The sequence below is a fragment of the Homo sapiens genome, chromosome 20, assembly GCF_000001405.40.
Source record: "Homo sapiens chromosome 20, GRCh38.p14 Primary Assembly".
In the NCBI taxonomy this organism is placed as follows: Eukaryota; Metazoa; Chordata; class Mammalia; order Primates; family Hominidae; genus Homo; species Homo sapiens.
In genome coordinates, this window is record NC_000020.11 from 38,970,060 (window position 1) to 38,996,442 (window position 26,383).

General features: G+C 38.4%; 1 protein-coding gene and 1 pseudogene across 10 annotated transcripts in view, besides 1 other annotated feature; one reads left to right on the forward strand and one right to left on the reverse strand.

Annotated features, from left to right (window-relative positions):
• Positions 1-26,383, forward strand: part of DHX35 (DEAH-box helicase 35) — a 77,378-nt gene that overhangs the window by 7,716 nt on the left and 43,279 nt on the right. For 7 of the 10 annotated variants that reach the window (XR_007067474.1, XR_007067475.1, NM_021931.4 and 4 more), the window contains exons 3-8: positions 2,500-2,592; positions 13,640-13,717; positions 18,754-18,858; positions 21,395-21,456; positions 22,297-22,366; positions 24,762-24,821. Coding sequence is in view for 7 of the 10 variants with exons in the window: in NM_021931.4 (NP_068750.2) it covers positions 2,500-2,592; positions 13,640-13,717; positions 18,754-18,858; positions 21,395-21,456; positions 22,297-22,366; positions 24,762-24,821 (468 nt within the window). In the remaining 3 variants the exon portion in view is untranslated. Of the gene's footprint in view, positions 1-2,499; positions 2,593-13,639; positions 13,718-18,733; positions 18,859-21,394; positions 21,457-22,296; positions 22,367-24,761; positions 24,822-26,383 lie in introns of all 10 variants that reach the window. The other 3 variants (NM_001190809.2, XM_047440354.1, NR_033905.2) reach the window with 2 other exon arrangements.
• NPM1P19 (nucleophosmin 1 pseudogene 19) lies at positions 7,455-8,455 on the reverse strand (annotated as a pseudogene).
• Positions 17,953-18,072: an enhancer, noted in NCBI's record as "active region_17878". NCBI's record gives its function as "activates an Ori minimal core promoter by ATAC-STARR-seq in GM12878 lymphoblastoid cells {active_cell/tissue: GM12878}" and the evidence as "EXISTENCE:reporter gene assay evidence [ECO:0000049][PMID:35858748]".

Below are 26,383 nucleotides of genomic sequence, written 5' to 3' on the forward strand. Positions count from 1 at the left end.
CTGTGTTCTATCTATCTGTCTGTCTGTCTGTCTGTCTGTCTATCTATCAGACAGGGTCTTCCTATATTGTTCAGGCTGGTCACGAACCCCTGAGCTCAAGCAGTTCTCCTGCCTCGGCCTCCCAAAGTGCTGGGATTACAGGTGTGAGCAGCCAAAAGGTGCCAAGTTCTTATACTCATGGAGTTCTTTTGACTAGACTGTGCTGATAATTCCTCTTCTATTAATGTGTTCTTTCTCCAAACAGATAGGCAACAGCAGCCTTCTTAATTTAGCCAGATTGCCTTACTTGGAGTTTTATGTGGCTCCCAATATTTTAGTCACAAGTGAACTGACTGTCTCTGGGTTTCTTCCTCAAGTGACTAACACATTCACTATGTATGAATGTTAGCAAGTTTGACTTTCAGGAGATGAAATGATAGGTTTACTATTGCTTTCTCACCACTGAGGGACAGTTTGAGCTGTGATGAAGTGTCCGGACTCTGGAGCTAGACTTCAGGGTTCAAACCCAAGCTTCACCATTTGTGTGCTGTGTGACCTCACTTCTCCATTCTGAGCTTCTTTTCTTTATCTGTGATGTAGGACTACAGGAGCACCTACCTCATAGGACTGTTATGAGGACCAGATGAGATCATCCATGCAGAGCATTTAGCAAGATACCTGACATGTAGTAAATGCTCAAGTACAAGGGAAATTACTGTTTACTCAAGTATTTAAATTTTGGCCTTTTCTTGACTATTCTTTGTCTCCCAACTGTACTTACAAGATAACATAAATGAAACAGCAAATGAAAAAAAAAAAAGCAACAAGAAGTTAAGAAATGTTTATGAAATTAAAATGGTAAGAAGAAGGGTGTAAGTTACTGATATAAAGCAAAGCAGAGTTTAAGTACAGTTGAGATCTTATAAGATGTTGAAGATGAATCGAGACAAAAAGGAAAACAAGTTACCTCTACGCCATCCTTTTTCCCTTTCAAACAAAAAGTAAAAGTAGCTTTAAAAACAGAAATTGGAGGCTCGGTGTGGTGGCTTACGGCTGTAATCCTATAGGCTTTGGGAGGCTGAGGCGGGTGGATCACTTGAGACAAGGAGTTCGAGACCAACCTGGCAAACATGGTGAAACCCCATCTCTACTAAAAATATAAAAAATTAGCCGGGCGTGGTGGCACATGTTTGTAATCCCAGCTACTTGGGAGGCTGAGGCAGGAGAACTCTTGAACCCGGGAGGTGGGGGTTGCAGTGAGCCAAGATTGCACCACTGCACTCCTGCCTGGGCAACAGAGCGAGACTCCATCTCAAAAAACAAAACAAAACAAAACAATGTTGGAACTAAAGCATCAAGAGATTGTTAAAGATCACTGCCTCTTCCCCAGCACCATTATGAGGCCACCTGTTCCCTTGTCTGCCTTCTTTAGGCTGCTGTATAGACAATAGTGACTCTATCTTGGATGCAAGTCTGCCATGTTCACTTCTGTTTAGACCCAGTCTTATAAATGCCTCCTGATTTCTGCTTTGTATATTGTCCTTAGTGTAAGAACATGTCAACCTCTCTGGGGGCAGCACTATTGACAGCTTCTTGTTTTGTTTTGTTTTTCCCCAAAAACAGTCTACGCATAAACAAGTAGATACGTGTTTGCCCTAAGAAGAATGCAGTTACTAGGGTATTATTCACACTGTTCTACATCTCACTTCCTTTTCTTAACATATCTTATAGTTCATTCCATATCAGTACAAGTAGATATTTCCTCTTCTTAATAACTACAAATTATTCCATTATTGGAATATTTTATGACTGATTTAACCAAACTTTTGTTGATCAACATTTAGGCTGTTTGAATTTTTGGCTATTATAAACAACTCTGCAATGAGTATGCTTGTATTTATGTCTTTGTACACATATAGTATGTAGCAGTATGTCTATAATTTCTTGTTTTTTTTGTTTTGTTTTGTTTTTTTTTTTTTTTTTTTTTTGAGACAGAGTCTCACCCTGTTGCTCAGGCTGAAGTGCAGTGGCATGGTCTCGCCTCACTGCAGCCTCCCCCCGCCTGGGTTCAAGCAATTCTGCTGCCTTAGCGTCCTGAGTAGCTAGTATTACAGGCACTTTCCACTGCGCCCAGCTAATTTTTGTATTTTTAGTAGAGACAGGGTTTCACCATGTTGGCCAGGCTGGTCTTGAACTCCTGACCTCATGATCCACCCCCGGCCCTGGCCTCCCAAAGTGCTGGGATTGCAGGCGTGAGCCACCTCACCCGGCCTATAATTTCTTATAAGTGAAAATGTAAAGGGCGTATGCATTATGTATTTTGATAAGTGTTAACACGATTGCAGTTGTATTCGCTCATACTGAGAGGAACAGTACCTGAGGGTTAGAAATACATTTTGATAGTTCTACTTAAAATTCACTTTCCTTTGAAAACAGCTCATTTCACAATGTTTAAATATCGTTGTTTAGGTCTTTTGAGACAATGTATGGCTATTTGCAAGGTGTGTTATTCTTTTTCAGCTTAGGAATCATATTTTATACTTGATAGAAAATTATCAGACAGTGGTGATTGTTGGTGAAACAGGATGTGGGAAGAGCACACAGATTCCTCAGGTGAGTACATATTTAATAAGTGTCTTTACACTTCGATTTGGCTGGAAGAATTTTGTAACTTGAGAGCTCTCTTTACTATCATTTACATTTTTAAGGTCTCCTTTCAGGAAATGTTCACTTCAACTAGATATTTTTTATTAAACTTTTAGGGCTTATAATTTCTTTGGTGAGTACTAAAGTAACAGTTTGTCTTCGATTTATTATAATTCCAAAATAGTAATGGAATGGCCATCTTCTGAAAGTTACAATGGAGATTTATTCAAAGATGTGAAATATAGAGTTTTTATCCTTAAATAGTTACAGTTGAAGGGGTGGGGTAAAATGAATTTTGCTGTAGTTGTAAATAAAAATTGGCTGTTATAGTATTATGCAGTGCTATGGAAGAACCCTTTCTTACTAGGAAAAATCCTATGTGATGTGGATAGGAGTAGAAAGAAGGATCAAGAAAGGCCTTGTAAAGGAATTGGCATTTGAAATTGACCTTGACTGGGAGCTGACTGAGAAGATATTCCAAGCCAGTGAATATTGTGGTTAGAAATACTGGGGTGGAGAAGTGTAGGGTGAGTTCAGAGTGTGTCTTAAGAACCTTAACTTGAAGAGTGAAGACTGACTGAGCTTGAGAGACCTTGCAGGTTCTTACTTCCTTTTTTAATGTTAATTTTCTTGAGGTATGACATATATGTAGGAAAGTACCTATATCATAATTGTACACCTTGATACATTTCTGCAAGTGGAATACATCTGTGTTACCAGCACCCAGATCAAGAAGCAGAACATTACCAAAACCTCAAGAACTCTTCTTCTGTGTTCTGTTCTCATCTCTAACTGCCATGTCTGCTTACCCCTACAATCATGAACACAAGGGTAGCTCTTATTCTGGCTACTAACCTCATAAATTAGTTTTGCGTATATTTGGAATTTTATAAAGGAATAATATAGCTGCTTTTGTCCAACGTTATGTGTGAGTCTTCCTTGGTGTTGAATTAGTTGCAGTTTGTTCATTCTCATTACTGCATAGCAGGGTTCGGCAAGTCACAGCCAGTGTGCCAGATGCAGCCCGCTGCCTGTTTTGTAGAGAAATCTTTGCTGGCACACAGCCACTCCTACTTGTTGATATATTGCCGGTGGCTCCTTTCAGGCTACCACACAGGGTTGAACAGTTTTGACAGAGACCCTACGATCCTCAAAACCTAAAAATTACCATCTGGCCCTTTACAGAAATGTAAAATGTAATGCTAACCCCTGCTAGTTAGTATTCCACTCTATGAGTATTCTGTGGTTTGTTTATTTTTCCTGTTGTTACTGACATTTGAGTCATTCCTAGTTTTTAGTTATGGATAGTGCTGCTGTGAACATTCATGTGCTTGTCTTTGGTGAACGTATGTGCACATTCTCCTGCTGGGCTCTACCTAAGAGTAGCATTGCTGGATCCTGTGTTCAACTTTAGTAAATAATGTCTAAGATATTCAAAGTGGTTGTGTCCTTGTAGGGTTTGCAAGCAAGTAAACAATATGACAAGCTGAGCTTTAGATAAATGATTATATTGAGATATAAGGTGACTTAGAAACTGGAGGAGGCAGGCCATAGAAAGCTATTGCAGTGGTCTAGAGAAGGATGGTGTAACGGGGTCCTCAACCAAGAGGTGATAGTGGGATAATCTGGTGAGGATGGGAAGGAGAACAATTTACAATTTTAGCGTTAGGGTCTGTAGACATTAGAAACTTAGGTTGGTGCTTTTGCACCAATCTAATAGATGGATATTTGTGATGACAAAGGGGAAGGGACAAAGGTGCACAGTGACTGATCACGACTTGCTGCCTTGGCGAACAGTGCTAGTATTAAATGTGATAGAAAAGTAAAGATTGTTTTTTTGAGGGGAAATTAATGTGTGTGTTTTTAAACATATTTATTTTTTCCTATATTATTGATGGCCTTTGATGACATTAGCAGGAAGTTTGGAATGGGAATCTGAAGCTTGGCAGAGGTCAGACGTAGAAGGTGTGGACATAGGGATTGAACATCCTGATACATGCAGGAAGGAGATGGAACAGAAATAACTGAGAAGAGGATTAAGGACAAAGTCCATGGAGCATCAACATTCAGGAGTCAGGAGCAGAAAGGAGATAGAATGGCAGCCAGGGAAATGACAGAGGAACCAGCAGACTCTTCATGGTTAGAGAAAGCAAAGACAGAGTGAGGTTTCTGGAGAGGTGGGTAGGTGGCAGTTTCAGCCAACAGAGCGGCCAGGGAGCAGGAGAACTGGTTCAGTCCTGGGTTATTCATCTTGGAGATAGCACGTCCAGTGGTAGGGTTTTAGGGTTAAGGGTGTCTAAGGGTAAGATGATAAAAATCCCTTTGCATATTTGAATATGTTAACAATGTGTTGTTGACTGTTTGGTCCAGACTTGTGGTCATGCCAGGATCTGTGTAGATCTTTTTTTTTGTCTGCTCCCCAACTCCATTTTGAATAATGGGTTTATAAATAGGTTGGGACCCAGATGTAGGTATTTTTTTAAAGTTTCCCAATAGACAGCTAGGGAAAGGTAGACAGACCTAGTAAAGGTAGATGACCTAGTAAAGGACAACTTGAAATGCATGCAGCAGAGGAAATGGTGGCCTGGAGGAAAAAGATAACCGTATATGCAGATGGAATTGAGAGCCTAGTAAGTTACTCATTTCTTACAGGAAGAAACAGGAGAAAGGTTAAATTACTGTGTGATTGTCATTTAGAGAGTAATATAACAATAGTATAACAAGTAATAACAGTAATAAGTGCTACATAAAGTGATTTTACACATGTTGATCTGTTTAATCCTCAATGACCCTATGAAGCAAATACCATTATTATCTTCATTTTATAGGTGAGGACACTGTAGAGAGTAATGAGGTTATGGAATATAGAACAGAGGTAAAAGACCACATGATGTTCCAGAATTGTTTGGGAATTAGTCTGTGACGTTATGTAGTCAGCTTAGGATAAACTATGTTCTGGTAACAAAGAACCTGAAAATCTCAGTGGCTTAAAAACACAAAGGTTTATTTCTTGCTCATACTGTGTGGTTATCTTGGGTTGGCTTTGAGATTCTATCACATCATCATTGGGCCTTAGGCTGATGGTACTGCTCTTATGAGGCACTTGTTGATCTTGTGGTAGATGGCAGAATCATGAGACAGCTCTTAAAACTTCTGACCAAAAGTGGGCCTTCTGTTCACATTTCATTGGTCAAAGCAAGTTATATGGCCAGGCCTGATAGCAACGGGGTGACAGTGTATATAATCCTCCCATAGGGATGGGTGGCAGGTATTTGGAACAATGATAAATATATCACAGTGATTTGGCCATTTACTCCTGCAAGGCTTAGCTGCCAGGGAACAGAGAGGGCCTGCTGTGTTACTAAGTCCAGGGAAAGCTGGTGGGAAGGAGAAAGAGCAGAGGCTGAGGATCTAGGCTGGGTAATGTGGGCAAACAAAGGTAGTTTTTTTTTCTTTTAATTTTAAGATTTGAATATTTTTAATATTTTTGAACATTAATAGGTTCACATGATTTAAAATTCAAAAGGCACAAAGGGACATACAAAGATTTCCTTCTGCCCTGTCTTCCTGGTACCCATTTCCTTTGTGCAGTTATAATCAGTATTATGAGTTTCTTGGTAGAAATTTTTTCATGCATTTACAGAGAAGTGTCTGTGTGTGTGTGTGTGTGTGTATGCACATATATGCCCTATTTTAAACATGAAACATCTATACATGTTTTAGTATGCCTTGACTTTTTTTTTTTTTTTTACTTATTCTTTCATTTTAAAAAAAAACTGTTTTGAATTGACACATAACTGTGCATATTTATGGGATTTAGTGTAATGTTTTGATATATGTATATGTTGTATAATGATCAAATCTGGGTCATTATCATATCCATCACCTCAAACATTTATCATTTCTTTGTGGTGAGAACCTTCAAAATCTCCCTTAGCTATTTTGAAGTCTATGGCACATTATTGTTAACTATAGTCACTCTGCTGTGCAGTAGAACACCAGAACTTATTCCTCCTATATAACTATAACTCTGTGCTTGTTGACCAACCTTTTATTCTCCCTACTCCCTGTTCCCCTCTTCCCTCTGCAGCCCCTAGTATCCACTGTTCTATTCTCTACTTTTGTAAGATCAACTTTTTTAGATTCCACATGTGAGTGAGCTCATGCAGTATTTGTCCTTCTGTGCTTGGCTTATTTCACTTAATATCATGTCCTCTAGGTTCATCTGTGTTGGCGCAAATGACAGGATTTCATTCTTTTTTATGACTGAATAGTATTCTATTGTGTATATATATCACATTTTAAAAACCAGTTCATCTGTTGTTGGACACCTAGGCTGATTCCATGTCTCGGCTGTTGTGAATAGTGATGGGAGTGTACATGTCTCTTTGATGTTCTGGTTTCCTTTCCTGGGAATAAATACCCAGTAGTGGGATTGCTGCATCATATGGTAGTTCTGTTTTTAATTTTTCGAGAAACCTCCATATTGTTGTCCATAGTGGCTGTACTAGTTTACATTGTCACCAACAGTGTGCAAGAGTTCCCTTTTCTCCACATTCTTGTCAACATTTGCTGTCGTTCATCTTTTTGATAGTAGCCATTCTATCTGGGGTGAGGTGGTATCTCATTGTGGTTTTGATTTGCATTTTCCTGATGATTAGTGATGTTGAGCATTATTTCGTATATATGAAATAATACACTGTGCATCTTCTTTTGAGAAATGTCTATTCAGGTCTTTTGCCCATCTTTTTTTTAACTTTATTAAAATACTGAGTTTTATTTCACATTTATTTTACATATTTTTGTCTCCCCACCATTTCCATGTCTGACCACCACTACTATTATGTCCTATCATGACATTCCATACATACCTAAAACCAAGCAAAGGGTGGAGTTCCATCTTTAAAAATGAAACAGGCATTTTGGACAACGCAGTCTTGGCAATGGAACCTGGACAACATTTATCAAACACGGTAGGGAAAGTTCTCACTCTGCATTATAAAAAGAACAGCCAGATATCAACTGTTGCTGCTTGCATTTTTGCTTTAGTGTTTTCTACAGAACTTTTGATATTTTAGGAATTTTTTTCTTGTTTTTTGAAGGATTCTTGTCCTTTTGATCTTGGTGTTGGTGGTATTGAGTCTTTTCCATTCTGATTTGACTTTTGTGCATTTTTTGGCTGGAGTATCTTGTATAGCTTTCTTTACTGGGGCTTTTTCTTCAGTTTCCTCATCATCAAAATCATCATCATTAGCAGCAGCAGCAAGTTTTACTTTTTTCTCTGGAACGTTGCTACCACCTCCAGGGGCAGATCACCTTCCAGATATACTTAAGAATTTCACATCTTCTTCCTCTTCATCTTCTGACTCTGCATCTTCCTCTACAGCTACTAAGTGCTGTCCACTAATATGCACTGGCCCTGAGCCACACTTCAACTGTAAGACCACCGGTGGTATTATTTCAAAGCCCCTAAGGGAAATCATTGGCTGTACAGACATTTTCAAAGTTGCCAGTGTTACTTTAATTGGACTGCCTTCGTAATTCATTGCCTCTGCTTCAACAATGTGCAATTCATCCTTTGCACCAGCCCCTGAGCTGACCGTTCTTAAAGATAACTGGTGCTCATCTTCATCATTATCCACCTTAAAGTGATCATCTTTGATGGCCTTTAGTTCACAACCAAAAAGATAGTTCTGGGGCCTCACAGGGCTCATGTCCGTGTCCATCACATCTTTCATGGGGTGGTGGCACGTACTTAGGTGGGAGAGAAGGCGGATGGAGATAAATGACCCCTGCTCCAGAGAACAGCTGTGCAGGGCGGAATCACACCCTTTTGCTCATTTTAAATTGGATTTTTAGTTTTTTGCTATTGAATTGTTTGAGCACCTTATATATTCTAGATATTAACTCTTTATCAGATAATAGTTTGCATTTATTTTCTCCCATTCTGTAGGTTTTCTCTTCACTCTGTTGATTGTTTTCATTGCTGAACAGAAGCTTTTTAATTTGATGCAATCCCGTTTGTCTATTTTTGCGTTTTGTTGCCTATGTTTTTGAGGTCATATCCAAAAAATCCTTGCCCAGACCAGTGTCATGAAGTGTTTCCCTTCTCTTTTGTTCTGGTAGTTTCATAACTTTGGTCCTTTCATTTAAGTCTTTTATCCATTTTGATTTGATTTTTATATGTGGTGAGAGTTAGGGAACTGGTTTCATTTTTCTGCGTGTGATTATCTAGTTTTCCCAGCACCATTTATTAAATAGATTGTCCTTTCCCTAAGATGTGTTCTTGGTGCTTTTGTTGAAAATCACTTGACTTTAAATGTGTGGATTTACTTCTGGATTTTCTGTTCTGTTCCATTGGTCTGTGTGTCTGTTTTTATGTGAGGACCATGCTGTTTTGTTTATAGCTTTGTAACGTTTTTTGAAGTCAGGTAATGCCTTCACACTTGGTCTTTTTTTTCACATAATGTATTGTTGGTTTTTTTTTCCAGTTCCATAGATGCTAGTATGTGAACATAATTTACCAATCCCCAATTGATAGACATTTAGGTTGTTTACAGTTTTGTATTATCACAATGATGCAGTGGAGTCAGTTTGCACATAAATCATTTTGCACACATATAGATATTTTTATAGAATAAATAAAATACTTATGGGGTTGCTGGCTCAAAACACATGTGCATTTGAATTGAATTATTTTAAGGAATTGCATTTTATTATAAACTTTTTAAAAATAGGAAATACATTTACATAGTACAAAATTCAAAAAGAACAAAGGAATAAATGGTGAAAAGTTAATCTCCTAAGCTTTGCTGTTGAAAATGACTAGATCATTGTAATAGATTGTATTATTGGTCCAAATATCTGCTACCCCTCTTATGGAGTATTCCCTTTTCTCCTAGCCACTCAGTTCCCCGTACCTGAGACAGTCACTGTTTCCAACTTATTGTGAAGCTAAATTTGGGCTATGATCTAGGAAAATTGGAATGGCTGAGGAACTAAAGGTTACAGCAAGGATACGGAGCAGGTTTTTCTCTCTTGTTAGATTTATATAGTACCTTTCCTTGGGAAAAAACAATGTGCAAAAGCACTGGATACTTAATAATTTTGAAATTCTACAAACTATATGTAGAACCTAGATGATTTTTTTTTTTTTTACTAGAGTTCTGTAAAAAAAAAAAACAAAAATAAGGGCTATGAACACAAGCTCTTCTTAAGTACAATTTTTATTAGTACTGTTATTGGTGGAGTTCTTCCTAATTCTGTCCTTTAGCCAGAAGCCCAGATTTGGTGATCCTTAAAAAGAGTGGAGAACTCAGATGGACTTCAGCTACGTTTTAGTGATCTCCCTCCGTGACTCTCCACTGCCTCTTGACGTTAGCACTACACCTGCTTTTTCAGTAGCTTTAAATTTCCACCTCTCAGCAATCATAAGCATGCCATAGAAGTCTGAATCACACAGGGTATTGAGGTGACTAGCTTTATGGACAGGCTTATTTTTATGGAAATTGTTTTTCTTTCACTTAACACTACTGCTAAGAGATTGGCTATGTGTGTTTGAAGTAGGATAATATGTTGTGTTCTGTTTATGTGTCATGACTTTGGTTTGCTGAGCTTGAAGTCCAGGATACAGATTTTTATTTGTTTCCTTGGACAAATTATGTGGCCTCTTTGTTTCCTCATCTGTGTATTGTTGATGATGATGTTACCTTCCTTATAGAATTTGTTTTGAGGATTAAATGGGTCAATGCATATAAGGCACTCAGTACAGTTCCTGGCACTTAATAAGGTACTCATTGACTCTTAGCTATTATTCTTATAGTTCTGTTTTTTTTTTTTTTGTATTTGTGTTGATTGGGGTGGTTGGTAGTATTTTGTATATGTATTTAATACAAGATAAACTTTATAGTTTTTATAGCAAAAACCCTACATTATCTTCAACCCTTTGTTTCTTACAGTCATTTTCTAAACTTTATTTTTAACTACTTTTAGACTAATAGAAAAATTGCAAAAAACAATACAGAATTCCCTTATACTCTTCACTACTAGTGCAGAGATCGAAAGCAGGCCATTAACATTGGTACAATAATAGTAATTAGACTATAGGCCTTATTTAAATCTCATCAGTTTTCTTACTAAGGTTCTTTTTTAGTTCTAGGATCCTACATTGCATTTAGTTGTTGTTTCTCCCTAATCTTTTCTAGGTTGTGCGAATTCCTCAATATGTCTTCATCTTTCATGAACTTGACACTTTAAAAGACTAATGGGATTTACTTTGTAGAATGTTCCTCAGTTTGGGTTTATGTCATGTTTTCTCATGATTAGAAGGAGCTTATGTATTTTTGGCAAGAATACTACAGAAATGATATTGTATCCTTAGTGCATCATTTCAAGGGTTCATAATGTTGATATGTCTTGTCACTGGTAATAGCAACTTTGGTCACTTGGTTAAGGTTCCAGCTTTTGCCTGTGAAACTACTGTCTTTCCCTTTTTAGTTGATATGTATCTTGGGGGACATATTTTCACACTGCAAATAGTCTACTTTTCTTCCAACTCTCACCTACTAAGTTTAGTATCCCCCTCAGTGGATCTTGTCTGTAGCAGTGATGATTTTCTTTTCTCCTCTTTCCCTCTATCTTTATTAAATGTAATTTTCTGTAAGGAAGAACTGTGCTTTCTTCCTCACTTATTTCTTAGATTATTTGCGTGTATCAATATGGATTCATAGATACTTATTTTTTTCTATGTGTTAAAGCCCAATACTGTCATTATTTATTGTGTTGCTCAGATTGTTTCATCTTTGAACATTAGAAGCTCCTTCATTTTGGCTCCTGTTTTCTTTCTAAAGCTTTCATTTTTTTGACCGCTTCCTTACTTTCTAGTACTACAAGATGTTTCAGGCTTGTCTTATATTTTTTCCTACACAAGCCCTGGTTCCTTTTATTGGAGAATGATGTTTAGAAATCATGATCTGGGGCCGGGCGTGGTGGCTCACACCTGTAATCCCAGCACTTTGGGCGGCCAAAGTGGGTGGATCACCTGAGGTCAGGAGTTTGAGACCAGCCTGGCCAACATGGCAAAACCTGGTCTCTACTAAAAATACAAAAAATTAGCCGGGCATGGTGTTGCATACTTGTAATCCCATCTACTAGGGAGGCTGAGGCAGGAGAATTGCTTAAACCCAGAAGTCGGAGGTTGCAGTGAGCCGAGATCACGCCATTGCACTCCAGCCTGGGCAACAGAGCGAGACTCTGTCTCAAAAAAAAAAAAAAAAAAAAGAAATCATGATCCGGATGCTAGAGTGCTCATTGCTACGAGATGTCATTGCTGAGTCTCAGTGAGCAGACTTAGGAAATATATGTATGAATATTAAGCCATACATTATAAAAACATCTAGCTATCTGTATCTGTCTATCCATCTATATTTTAAACACCATGAGTTTATGCAAATGCTTCTGATTCCAATCTAATACCATAGGGCTCTTTTGAGCCTTTCTTTATTTATAACTTCTCTGCAACAATGAGAAGCTTAGTCCTTATCATCTACAGTATATTTGTGGATTCATTAAAATAGTTTCAGAATTGCTAACTTGTAACCTTGTTTGGATATTTACTAACTAGATTACAGCATTTATGTACAGTTCTTTCTGTCTTTAGCCTTACAACATACAGTCAAGATATATTTTTCCATCATTCCTTAGGTAAGTTCTTTTCTTCTCCACCCCCTGCAGTGTGGTTATGTTATTCATTTGTAGTATAGAAAGGGTCATCTGTTAGTGTTTATATTTCCTTTAGGTTTCCCTCCACATCCTGGTTGGTTTTATTTGTCTTCTGGGTGTTTAAAAAGTATGTGAAACATGCATGGCTGTGATTCTCAGAGTCAGAGCTACACAAAAAGATCTATTGAGAGCATTGACACGCCCTCTTTATCCCTGTTCCCCTCCCTCCATTTCCCCTTCTTTCTACACCTTTCCCACCCATTCCCTGTAGACAACCATTTCTTAGTATCTATATTATCCTTCCTTTATTTCTTTTGAACACATGAGCAGGTACACGCAGTAACTTTTAAAATCTTTTTTCTATTGTAGAAGTAATACATGTTCATTGTAAAACTATTAGATGTTAGAAAAACATGTAACTGATAACCACTGTTATCCGTATTGGATTTTAAGTGCATATAATCAAATAAATACATAGATATTAAATAAGTAGGTAACTCAGATAAATACACTTAATCAAATTTTTTTTTTTTTTTTTTGAGACAGAATCTCTCTCTGTCACCCAGGCTGGAGTGCAGTGGCAGGATCTTGGCTCACTGCAACCTCCACCTCCCAGGTTCAAGCGATTCTCCTGCCTCAGCCTCCTGAGTAGTCACGATTACAGGCATGTGCCACCACACCCACCTACGTTTTTATATTTTTGGTAGAGACGGGGTTTCACCATGTTGGCCAGGCTGGTCTTGACGTCAAGTGATCTGCCTACCTCAGCCTCCCAAAGTGCTGGGATTACCGGCATGAGCCGCCGTGCCTGTTCAATCAAATTTTATATATGTGTACTAATCTAATGGTGTATAGTCATATATATAAAATCCAGTTGTTTTATTTAATATGGCTGAAATGTGTTGTGTGGTTGATATTTATGTTGAGCCATCTCTATATGTGCTTAAAAATTCTTTGTTCTACAGAGTTAGCACTGTTTTGAGTGACCTGTGGATAATTTTTTGTTCCCTGAGGCATCTGTAGTACATGGTGATTTTCCAGGACTGGGGTGTCAGAATGCTGGAATTGCGCCTTAGTTCTTCTGTTGATCAGCTTTGATGTGAACTTAAGTAAATCACCTAACATTACCAAGCCTCAGATCCTCCATCTGTAAAATAATTCCCAAAGTTCTGCTGGGACAAGAACTGTACTTTTTCCTTTCTTAGTGATTTTAACACAATACGGGAGCATCTTGGGGGAGATTGCTCTGCAAAAGTGGTATCATATGTATACTTAGATGTGATTTTGTTTGTAGTACCTTGCAGAAGCCGGCTGGACAGCTGAAGGAAGAGTGGTAGGAGTGACCCAGCCTCGAAGAGTGGCTGCTGTTACAGTGAGTTTCTTTTTGTGTTGGAAAGATTCTATCTGTGTTGTCTACATTTGTGATTTGTTTACATTTCCTAAAGGCTTTAAATGAATAGAAGTTGCTCCTTAAGAGTTTAGGTCTTCAGTTTTTATGTTTTTTTTATTTTTATTTTTTTCCTCAGACAGAGTCTCACTCTGTTGCCCAGGCTGGGGTGCAATGGAGCTATCTCAACTCACTGCAACCTCCGCCTCCTGGGTTCAAGCAATTCTCCTGCCTCAGCCTCCCGAGTAGCTGGGATTACAGGCATGTGCCACTACGCCTGGCTAATTTTTTTATATTTTTAGTAGAGACGGGGTTTCACCATGTTGGCCAGGCTGTTCTCAAACTCCTGATCTTGTGATCTGCCTGCCTCAGCCTCCCAAAATGCTGGGATTACAGGCATGAGCCACTGTGCCTGGCCAGGTCTTCTGTTTTAAAAGAATTATGATTTGAATATTTTTGTTAAATTGATCCTGCACATTATGAACGTTTTAAACAATAAAGTGCTGAGGAAATAAAAAAACAATATATTTTTAAAACCCCAAATTTCACCATCCAACATAAACAATGTGAACATTTGTGAACATCATTCCAAGCTTCTCCTAAAGATGAAGATGAATGGTTGACTGGCTGGATAGAAATAATTTTATAAAAATGAGATCATATTTAATATTTATTTTTTATTGAATTTAACAAAATAGGAAACTTTAGTGAAATAGGAGTAGCGACTGTACTTTGGATAAATGTTCACCGCAAGATAATTTATTAAAGCTTGAAAAGTAAGAAAAAAGAGTACAAAAAAATTCAAGATGTTACCTATATTTCAAATTACGCCTTATAGTTTCCTGTTATGAAAGAAGAGGAAATTAGCACATGTATTCTTCTTTCCACCTTCCCTTTCTCCATTTGTTGTAGATACAGTCCTGTCATTTTCATTTCAAGATTTATAATATACATGTTCTTAATCATAATTCTCACAGGTGTTTAACCTTAATTCTAGCTTGAATGGATTCATTACTCATCATTAGTTATTTTCTATGGTTTTGCTAACCTTGAATTGCTTGTTTTGCTTTTATTTCTTGTATTGGCTGAATTTTATCATTCAGCTTTTTTTTTTTTTTAATATGCTTGAGAATGTTCAGTTGTGGTTTTTGTTGATATAAAATTCTTGATTCACACTGTCCCTGCAAACTGCAGACTTTGCTCACTGCCTTTTGGCGTTGAGGATCACTGTGTAGAAGTCTGAGCCACCATAAGTTTTTTGTTGATAGTATGTTTGAATTCTTTTGTTGTTTTTAAATTAGCTCTGAGAGATTGGGTGTGGTGGCTAATGCCTGTATTCCCAGCACATTGGGAGGCCGAGGCAAGAGGATTGCTTGAGCCTAGGAGTTTGAGAACAGCCTGGGCAACATAGCAAGACCCTGTCTCTACAAAACAATTTTTAAAAAAATTAGCTGGGCATGCTGGCACCTGCCTGTGGTCCCAGCTACTTCGGAGGCTGAGCCAGAAGGATCTCTTGAGCCCAGGAGTTAAGGTTGCGGTGAGTTATGATCGTGTCATTGTACTCCAACCTTTACCCTATCTCCAAAAAAAAAAAAAAAAAAAAAGGCTTAAAGAAAAGGAAGTAGGGCCTTTAGTTTGTGGCCTTTACCTGGACAAACAATTAATTCTATTTCCCCAAGTTATTTTTGTTCTGTACTGAGTTTTAATTATTGTGTCGTTGTTTTGCCCAAAGTTCATTTTCTAATGGTGTTCAATTAAGAAGTTATACAGTTTTAGAAGTTATGTGTGTGTGTGTGTTGTGTTTTTGTATGAAAATGGGGCTAACAGTTTGGAAACCAAGTTGCAAATGCTGCTGGAGTTAATCTTTTTTGTCACTAAAAGATGACTCAGTTACCTAAAATTAGAACAATTTTTCCTGTTTGTGGTTTGGAATCCCAGCTCTTAATCAGTTTGCATCTTAGTTCCAAATTTGTAGCCATGGATAACTTCCATGAAACCACAGCTTTCTCTTGAAAGAGCAAAGAGCATGTAATATATTAATAGAGCTGTCAAGTTTGAAATGCTACATCTCAGAAAGTACTTTATGTGCAGACTAAAATCTGCAAACAATCTCAGAGCCTAAAAACAGATTGCATAAGCTGTTGCTTGATCTCTGTGAGAGGCAATTAGTAGTGAGTATGCTTGTTGAACTCATGTGGTCTGGGTTTGACTTCAAGACCAGGTAGGTCCTCCCTGACCTGTGATTCAGAATAAGCTCTAACACCTGTCTTATTTCAGTTTCCTCATTTGTAAATACAACAGTGTCTCGTCTACCTCATGGGCTGTGTGTCTATTTAATGAGATACAAATTTGTGAAAGCTTAGAGCACAGCACTTGCCAGTAGTAGGTGCTCAGTGATTTTTTTTTTTTTTTTGGTCTTTTACCTCCCTTTCCTTTTGGTCTGTCAAAAAGATAGTATTTGTCCAGTCTAGTTGATGAGGTTATTGGGAGCAGAACTAAAGTGATAGAGATAAAAATCTATTAAAAAGCCAAGAGAATATAACCTTGTGTGATTATAAATAATAAAAATTTAAAAATAGAGTTTGAAAATAAAAATACATACTTTTTATAGCAAATGTATTCAAATAGTGAAGGAGTAAGAATAAACAGGTTTGGCTTTTACCTTATAGACCCATAAAATGATTATATTTTTACAGAGATTTGTTAATTTATGCTCATTTTTTTAAATTTAAAATTTTTGTGGGTACATCGTAGGTGTATATATATTTATGTATGCTCATTCTTATAAGCCTATTTTCTCCATAAGTTCCTAGTATCTCTATGCACACATTCTCTACCTGTACCATATTCTGAGATTTATAATATAACGACATGTAGGGTTGAAATTGGAACAGTAACAATAACAAATCTGTCCTGGTGAAATGCTGGTCATTGGGAAATACAACCACCAGAGGCAGAGCAATGTAGGATAACTTTCTGGTTTCATAAGACGTTTTGAAAGCCTACATGATATAGACCAGCTGCCAGATGATTGATTTGGTTTTGGCCTCCCCATTCTATAATTTCAAGTCACCAGGCAGAGCTGCTTCTGATCCTCATCTGCTCTTCAGTGTCTTAAACACTGATGGGCAGGAAACGCCTGGGTGTGCCTAGCTCAGAAGCTGAGGGCAGGGAGCCTCTGCCCTCCTGAGCCTGGGGCTGCTGGGGTGGAAAGGCTGGAGCAGTAAGCTCTGTCTCAGGACACCACATGTGCCAGCCATGTTCTAAAGTCAGGACTTGGGAACTGCGTGGGTGCTGGGGAGGTTGTCTCACCTGTGAAAGAGGGAGACTGAACTCCTTCCTTCTGTGGGGATTGGTGTGCTGGGCCCTGGGAAATCTCTATTAATATTGCTTCCCTTTGGTTCTTTTCATTTAGGTAGTTTATGTGGTGGTGAATACTAAACTTTCTTTTCTTTCTTTTTTTGTTTTTTGACACAGTCTCTTTGTCACCGAGGCTGGAGTGTAGTGGTGTGACCTCGGCTCATTGCAACCTCCACCTCCCCGGGTTCAAGTGATTCTCCTGCCTCAGCCTCCTGCGAGTAGCTGGGATTACAGGCGCATGCCACCATGCCCAACTAACTTTTTGTATTTTTAGTAGAGATGGGGTTTCACCATGTCGGCCAGGCTGGTCTTGAACTCCTGACCTCAGGTGATTTGCCTCCCAAAGTGCTGGGATTGTAGGTGTGAACCACCGCGTCCGGTCCTATTTTCTTTTAAATTAAACTAAATGATATTCATTATTGCTCTTCCACTTTTATGCTTGTTCATTCTTTTAAATATTTTCTATTAATAAGTTAACTTTTGAATAGCCTTCTTGGGGGAATGCAGAGATCTTGCTGTTGGATTCATTTTTCTCTTTCCTGCATTCATTTTTTATTTGTTATGTTTTGATGGATGAAATTTTGTCTATAGTTTATGGTCTTCATAATGTATTACATATTTTGTCTTTCACTTTATTATGCTACCTTGGATTTTTTATTGATCTTCTCATCCACTCATCTGCCCCCTTTGTTTTAAACCTGAGTTTGTCTGTATTTCCCCTCTCAGTGGCTTTGGCAGCTGGGACACAGTTGTGAACTGTTTCAGGTATCTCATTCTTGAAACTTAGCTTTTTGCCTTCGATGAGAAAATGAAACTGGCCCAGCTTTGAATATGGTAATTCCTGTTCTGCCTTCATGGTCCCGGGGGATGGGTTTTCTTTTCGAGCGTGGAGATGAAAAGTTGTCCCTGGTTAGTGTGCCCTTTGTTTAGGAACAGGGTGAATCTTGTCATTTCTTTTACTTTCCTTTTTGCTTTGGCCACCAAATTTAGAGCTGAATTTGTGGCTCAACTTGAATAATTTTGGCATATCTATGTTTAACATTTTCTCATTGGCTTTGATCTTTTGAAATTTTTTCTGTAATTTTTTGGATCTTGATCCGTAACATTTTTATGTGATTTTGTTTTTCATTGTGTATGTTCTTATAAGTTGCCCCAAGACCATTATAGAATGAAGTGAGATACATAAGTTAATAATTGGCTGGGTGTGGTGGCTCACGCCTGTAATCCCTGTACTTTGAGAGGCTGAGGCGGGCAAATTGCTTGAGGTCAGGAGTTTAAGACCAGCCTGGCCAACATGGCGAAACCCCATCTCCACTAAAAATACAAAAATTAGCTGGGCCTGGTGGCGCTTGCCTGTAATCCCAGCTACTTAGGAGGTTGAGGCAGGAGGATTGCTTGAACTTGGGAGGTGGAGGTTGCAGTGAGCCGAGATTGTGCCACTGCCCTCCAGCCTGGGTGACAGAGTGAGACTCTGTCTCAATAATAATAATAATAAAAATTGCAAAAGTTATTATGCTTGTTCTCTAATAACTTGTCTCTTTTCATTTTTCATTGTGTTCACATACTATTTAAAATATAAATGACCTTTAGATTTTCCATAGTATGTGCGCTGTGCAGTAATTTCTATGTCTCTATTTTCAGCATGATCTTTCTTCCCAAAGGTTGCAGGGAGAGTAGCTGAAGAAAGGGGTGCAGTGCTGGGCCACGAGGTGGGCTACTGCATCCGCTTTGATGACTGCACCGACCAGCTGGCCACGAGAATTAAGGTAAAGTGCTCAAGCTGCTTTTCCTAGTGGAAATAAGGAAGAAGGTTATTTTGGGAGAATTAAAAACATGTAGTCCTTGCTGCTGTACAGGACATTGATACCATGGCAGAAAGTGAAGAAAAGTATCCTGACATTCAGAGACTTTAGTCAGCTAGGAGACAGAGAGCTCTTCCTTTTTTCTTTTTTTTTTTTTTTTTTGAGACAGAGTCTCTCTCTGTCACCCAGGCTGGAGTGCGGTGGCACGATCTCTGCTTGCTGCAAGCTCCGCCTCCTGGGTTCACGCCATTCTCCTTCCTCAGCCTCCCGAGTAGCTGGGACTACAGGCGACCGTCACCACACCCGGCTAAGTTTTTTTTTTTTTTTTTTTTTTGTATTTTTAGTAGAGACGGGGTTTCACTGTGTTAGCCAGGATGGTCTCAATCTCCTGACTCGTGATCCACCTGCCTCAGCCTCCCAAAGTGCTGGGATTACAGGCGTGAGCCACTGTGCCCGGCCGACACAGGGCTCTTTCAAAGAGTCCTGCAATCTTATCCCAGAAAGGAGCTTGGAAGTCAGGTTTAGTCCTTGATTCCAAAGATGAAGAGGTTAAGGGCTTGGAAGGTTGAATGACTTGCCTGATATTATATGCCAATCAGTGATAGGACCAAGACTCAAAGCTGTCTTTTCTTATGTGTATTTTATTGTATTTTCACTGACTCAAATAGCAATCGAAATATAGAAACAAGCCTGTAAAAGGCTTAAAAATAGAGTAGTATAAGTTGATGAAGTGTAGAATTCATGAATGTTGTTTCACTAATTAGTACTTTTCCATTTTCATATGAAAATGGATTTTACATGTGTGTTCTTTGGCCTTGTTGCTAATGTTAAAATAATTAGTATCAATAGTAATCAGTGTATAATCAACTCAACAGGGTGTGTACTACCTACCACCGTGCTAGAATCAAAGTCTAATCAGACAGTGCAATAAAACAGTGAATGAAAATAATCTGATGAAATGAAAATTGATTATTAGAATCTCAGTTACCTCTTAATTTGCAACAGAGGAAAATTGAAAATCAGATGAGCTGAATGACCAATGTAGTGATTTGTAAAAATGTAGACCTTATTTTCCAGATTGCCATATTTTGTTATATTCATTTTGCTAGGTGAAGGGAATATTTTTCTGTACCATCAAATATATTTGAACTAGCTAATTTTCAGTGGTTTGCATAACCATGAAAACCTTTGAGCCGTCCATAAAAACCTTTTGTATTCCATTTGGTCACAATTTCAAGGTGCTCAGTTCTCGACTGGTGATTTGTCATTGGTGGAAGTTCTCACTACGTATGTATGTGGCAGCTAGTACCAGGTCCAAGAAAAATATGATGGCAATGCATCCTGCTCTTAAAACAAAAAAAGTAAAAAACACCTAAGATACAGCATGCAAGGGAGATGGTTTAACCTGAAAACAAATTCAGTACGTTAAGAAGGCTGTTACTGTATGTGTCTGAAGCATTTTATAAAGATTCATTAATCTGAAATAATATTAGCTGACTTTTCTTAAACACTACTCTGTCCTAGGTCCTATGCTAAACGCTTTACATGTACAGTCAGTCCTCTGCATCCTGCGGGTTCTGCATCTGTGGATTCAACCAACCTTGAATTGCTAATATTACAAAATAAAAATAAAAAATAATGTAAATTTAAAAAAATACAGTATAACAACTATTTACATAACATTTACATTGTTTTAGTCATTCTAAATAATCTAGAGATGATTTAAAATATATGGGAGGGTATGCATAGGTTACATGCAAATACTATGCCATCTTATATAATGGACTTGAGCATCTGCAGATTTTGGTGTGGGTTGGGGGGGTTTCTAGAACCAACCCCACAAGGATACCGAGGAACTACTATACTATCTTATTTATTTTTCACATTAACTTGGTGAGGTAAATACTTTGATTACCTCATTTTACAAATGAGCAATCAGGGACAGAGAAGATGAGTAACTTGTCCAAGGTTCACACAGCTTAGTAAGAGGTAGAGCCAGGATCTGAACTCCCAGCAGTCTGACACCATAGCCCATGTGCTTAACCATGATCCTATCTAGAGTCTGTAAAATAATATTAATTGAAGTTTAAGTTAATAACCTCAAGAACTGCAATCTATAGTCTTTGGGACATTTGAAGAGCAATTATCTTACACTTAGGGTGTTTCTTTGGGCAGATACCAGTTAGTCTTCACTGCCTCTTTATCGATAGTACTGGTGGTGCAAGCCCAGAGGAAATGGGGCATAGCTGATGTTCCCATAATAAAGGCAAGTGAAATTCTGCTCAAAGATTTGCAACTCCAGCTGAGGACCCTGTGTTTAAAGCCTTTTGTGAACAATTACATTGCTTGATAACGAAAATATGGGGGCATTTTCTCACAGTCCTTTGTGGGAATTTACTTGTACACATGCTGGCAAAGAGGTTGCACTTGAACTTAAAAAATACCATTAATATGTAGTGTAAGTGAATTATTTCTAAAGCTTTGTGTTTTTATTTTTTAGTTTCTTACTGATGGAATGCTGGTCAGGGAAATGATGGTTGATCCGTTGTTAACAAAATATAGGTAAATGTGTTTTTCTTATGATAGCTTTCCTAGTTTCCAAAGTCCCCAGGTAGACGGAGAAGCAGGTGTGTTAGTAGCTGGGATTCACGTCTGTGTTCAGCTGCCCCAAAGCTTTTCTCTTGACCTTGGCTGTTGGGACCCTTGGTGTTTTTCTCAGAATTTAAATAGTATGGCCCTTTACAGACACTCAAAAATGGGCACATTAAAATTCCTATCATTACTTAGTCTGGTGACTTGTCCTTTTTATTTTGCCTTGTCACACTCCAGTATTGATGGTGACTGCAGAGAACTAACTGCCCTGTGTTAAATGTAATATACAGAGTCCAAATAATTTTTTATCACTTCCCCCTCTTTGTCTATCTGTCTGTCACTCACAGCATTAAAGCTGTCCTACCTAGGCTCTGGTGTTCTCGAGGAGAGTGTCACATTTGACCCCCTGGCCCACGTGTGTCACAACTGTAGTCAGCTACCTCTTTGACTGTTGTTATAGCTTAACAGTCTTCAGATGGTTGGGCTTTGTTCTGATTTTTATGTGTTCTGTGGGGTTATAGGTTGGTTATGTTTTCATTTAAAATCAGATATTAAATTCTGTTGGAATTCAGTGTGGATGGTAAAACGCTTAAAGATAACAATAGTACACTTTTTAAAATTCAGGTATGTTAATGTCACCGTTTTTATTAACCTAAGAATTGCCTCATTGTCAAAGAAGAGTGACTTAGGTTTACTTTTGATGCAAAGTGATTGTATGAGGACTAAATACCCAGAAGCTCTTTGATGGTCTAGATGAGATGATGTGTGGCTTTTTTAGAGGCTCACTGAGAGCTTCTCTTTGATTCTTAGTGTCATCATGCTGGATGAAGCCCACGAGAGGACCTTGTACACTGACATTGCCATTGGCTTGCTAAAAAAGGTATGACTTCACTGCCAGCTTTTCATTGTGTGTGTTTATTTTATTGCCTAATTACAAAAGCAACTGTAGCAACTTGGAAAGTACAACAAAATACCAAGGAAGAAAATTAAAATCATCCATAATCCTACCCATTCAGAGAATATCAGTGGTAGAATGTTGGTATATTTTCTTCTCTTTTCTGTGTGTGTGTGTGTGTGTGTGAGTGAGTGTGTGTGTACTTGGATCTGTTTTGGCATACTAGGGATTGATTGAATTATATATACTAATTTGTATCTTGCATATTTCCCTTAACATTACATTAGGATCATTTTTCTGTGTCATTTAAATATTCTCTGAAGATATTATTTTTAATGGCTATTTAATCACATCTCTATCATAAAGTATTTAACTTCCCCTACTGTTAGCAATTTATATGGCTTGCAGATTTTAAATATTATAAATACTGTTGTAGCAAGCACCCTTGTAATTGAATCTGCTGCATTTCTGTTTATTTTCTTTAACTTTTTATTATTAAGGTTTCATACATATCCCAAAGAAGTGTATAATGACCCCCATGTACCCTTCATCTGGCTTCAACAATTACAACTCACAGCCAATCTTGTTTCAATCTTAACCTCCACTCTCTCCTCCCTTCCCATATTTTCTGATTGTTTTCTTTGGACAGATTCCCAATTAGAGTCTAGAAAGAAGTGGTAGAACAGGGTGATTAAGAGCATAGGCATTGAGTCAGACTACCTGGGTTCAAATTCTGGCTTTGCTGAGTTTACTCATCTCTAAAATGGGGAAAATAGTAGTCTCTATATCTGTGCTGGTATACTTTCCTTTATGGTAGCCACTAGCCACCTGTAGCTATTGAGATAAAAGTTAATTAAAATAGAAGAAAGTAAAAAAATTCAGGTTCTCAGTCACGTTGGCTATTTTTCTTTTCTTCTCTCTTTTTTTTCTTTTTTTGAGACGGAGTTTTGCCCTTGTTGCCCAGGCGGGAATACAATGGCGTGATCTTGGCTCACCGCAACCTCTGCCTCCCAGGTTCAAGCGATTCTTCTGCCTCAGCCTTCCCGAGTAGCTGGGATTACAGGCATTTGCCACCATGCCTGGCTAATTTTGTATTTTTAGTAGAGATGGGGTTTGGTTCCTCCATGTTAGTCAGGCTGGTCTTGAACTCCCAACCTCAGGTGATCTGCCTGCCTCGGCCTCCCAAAGTGTTGGGATTACAGGCGTGAGCCACTGTGCCCGGCCACATTGGCTATTTTTCTTTTCTTTTTTTTTTTTTTTCACGTTGGCTATTTTTCAAGGGCTCTATAGCCACAGGTGGCTAGTGGCTTATGCATCGGACAGTACAAATAAGGAAAGTTTTCATCATTGCAGAGAGTTCTTTTAGACATAGGTACTGTATATTGTGATTTGTTATGAAGCTTAAGTAAGATAGCAAAAAACTTTTAGGTTGGTGCCTGGCATAGGGTCACAGCTAGACTGTGAGGTTCTTTTGTGCAAATTAGAAAAAGATGTTCCCTCTGGGAGGATGTCTAGAGCTAGGTGGGAGGCAGGTGGACCGGATTGCTGAAGCCCCTAGCCCCCTCAGCCAGGCATCTTTGCACAGTGGGTACACTGTGTACCTGTATGCAGGGCCTCTGGGCTAGCACATAAGTTAGTCTGTATTAGTTGTTATTATTATTATTTTCATTGTTATTTTATTCCATTGCCAAAGATTTAGATTTTTTGATACTTTAAGGGAATTATTGTACCATGTTATTACCTTTTTCAGGAACGGTATAATAAGAGGGCCGATTTCACTGAATCTTTGCCAACACTGAGTATTAGCCTTAAAAAAATAAATCCTTGCCAATGGGATAGATGGGGAAAAAAAAATCTCATTGTTATTATATATCTTAGCTGTAGCTCATTTGGTCACTTCTCCAATGCCTGTTGATTATGTGTTTCTTTGAGTAACTGTTAATATCTTTTATCTCTTTTTTTTTTGCCATATTTCTGTCTTGGTGTTATCATTTATTGTTTGTTTGCTTTTAATATACTTTTTCATACATAGATTCAAACTATCTTGAGACCCAGGTGTCAGGAAAAAATGGTTTTATTCTCAGTAAATTCAAATTTGGGTCTTAAAGCTTCTTTATAGTTTTTATAATTTAAAAAAATTTACTTTGGAAAATTGCATACATTTACAAAATTGGAAGTAATAGTGTAATGACCCCCCCCCCCCTTTATTGACAATTATTAATTTGTAGTCAGTCCTTTCATCTGTAAGCTCCCTTACCTCCTCCTCAGGCAAAAAAGAAAAAAAAAGACACTGAATTTTTGAAATACATTTCAGATATCAAATGATCTCATCCATAAGTGTTGCACTATTATCATTATTTCCAAATGTCTTCTTTTTTAGATTCAGAAAAAGCGAGGGGATCTTCGATTGATTGTAGCTTCAGCCACTCTGGATGCAGACGTAAGAGCCTTGCCTCCCCTTTCCTCCTCTCCTCACAAACACTTTTGTCCTATATATCCTTGGGAAGTTACCTCTAGCAAGAGCTTATCTTTGGCAGAATGCCCTATCTTCTTTATGGGACCATCTGATGTCCTAGATTTCATATAATCAGAGGTTACTCCTTTTCAGCTTGTGAAATTAGACTGTAATTAATTGAGCTCATAATTACCTACCTGTCTTGTTTATCTACATACTGTCTTTCTCCCCACTTACACAGCTTCTTTTTGTTGTTTTTTCAGTATAAGCCTGTATTTCTTGAATTTGTTTATTTATGACTATACTGTATAGATTTAGATTTTTCTGTGCAATTGAAGTTTCTCCTGGGCTGGGCACGGTGGCTCACACCTGTAATCCCAGCACTTTGGGAGGCTGAGGTGGGTGGATCACTTGAGGTCAGGAGTTTGAGGCCAGCCTGGCCAACATGGTGAAACCCCGTCTCTACTAAAAATGCAAAATTAGCTGGGCGTAGTAGTACATGCCTATAATCCCAGCTACTTGGGAGGCTGAGGCAGGAGAATTGCTTGAAACTGGGAGGCAGAGGTTGCAGTGAGCTGAGATCGCTCCATTGCACTCCAGCTTGGGCAACAAGAGCAAAACTTCATCTCAAAAAAAAAAAAAAGTTTCTCCTGTATATATAATAATTTCCATGTTAAAGTTTTCTGTGGCTAGGTTTACATTATTTTTCTCTCTTGTGGACCTATAGTTTAAACAGCAGCTCAACTCAACAAATACTTTTGACCACTTACTATATTTACATGCAGAAATAGATGTTTGCAGTTCAGTGTGTTCAAAGTTCTGAGGCAGCTAAGGAGGGAGCCCTTAACTCCAGCCAGCTGGGGGGTGTCCAGAAACTTTCGCAGAGGTGGTGACCTACCAGCTGTGCTTGAAAGATGGACAGCCGTTTTCCAGATGGATGAAGGTGGGGAAGGGCACCCTAAATATAAGTGAAATCACAGGGACATGACCATGAGTTCATGGAGCTTCGAGTCTTATCTTACCTGCCAGGCCCTCATGGGTGAATTACCCTTGAACTCCCTCTCTGACTTTATCTTCTTCCACTTTCTCCAGTGCTCCCTACATTTCAGCCTCACTGGTCTCCTTGCTGTTCCTCAAAACAACCCAGGCATGCTTCTGCTCTGGAGGAACCCTCTTTTTAGACCATTCCTTCCCCGGACAGCCTAAGGTTCTCTCCTAATTTCATTCCAGTTTTGAGCATTTATTATCTCCTCAGAGAGGCGCTCTCTAAAACAGCACCCCAGTTGCTCTTTATTCCCTTATTCTGATTTTTTTTATGTTTCTCACTTGTCTATCACTATTTAACATTATATGCATTGTTTATTGTGTGTCTCCTGTCACTAAAATATAAGCTCCATGAAGATCAGGACTTTGTCTTATTTTATCTCTTCCACCTAAAACAATGTCTAGCACAGAGTAGGCACTTGGGTTGAATGAATTTTGACTGACTGGGAAGTAATGGAAGATTAAAATGGGGAGGTTGGGGTCAGATGACGGAAAGCCTTAGA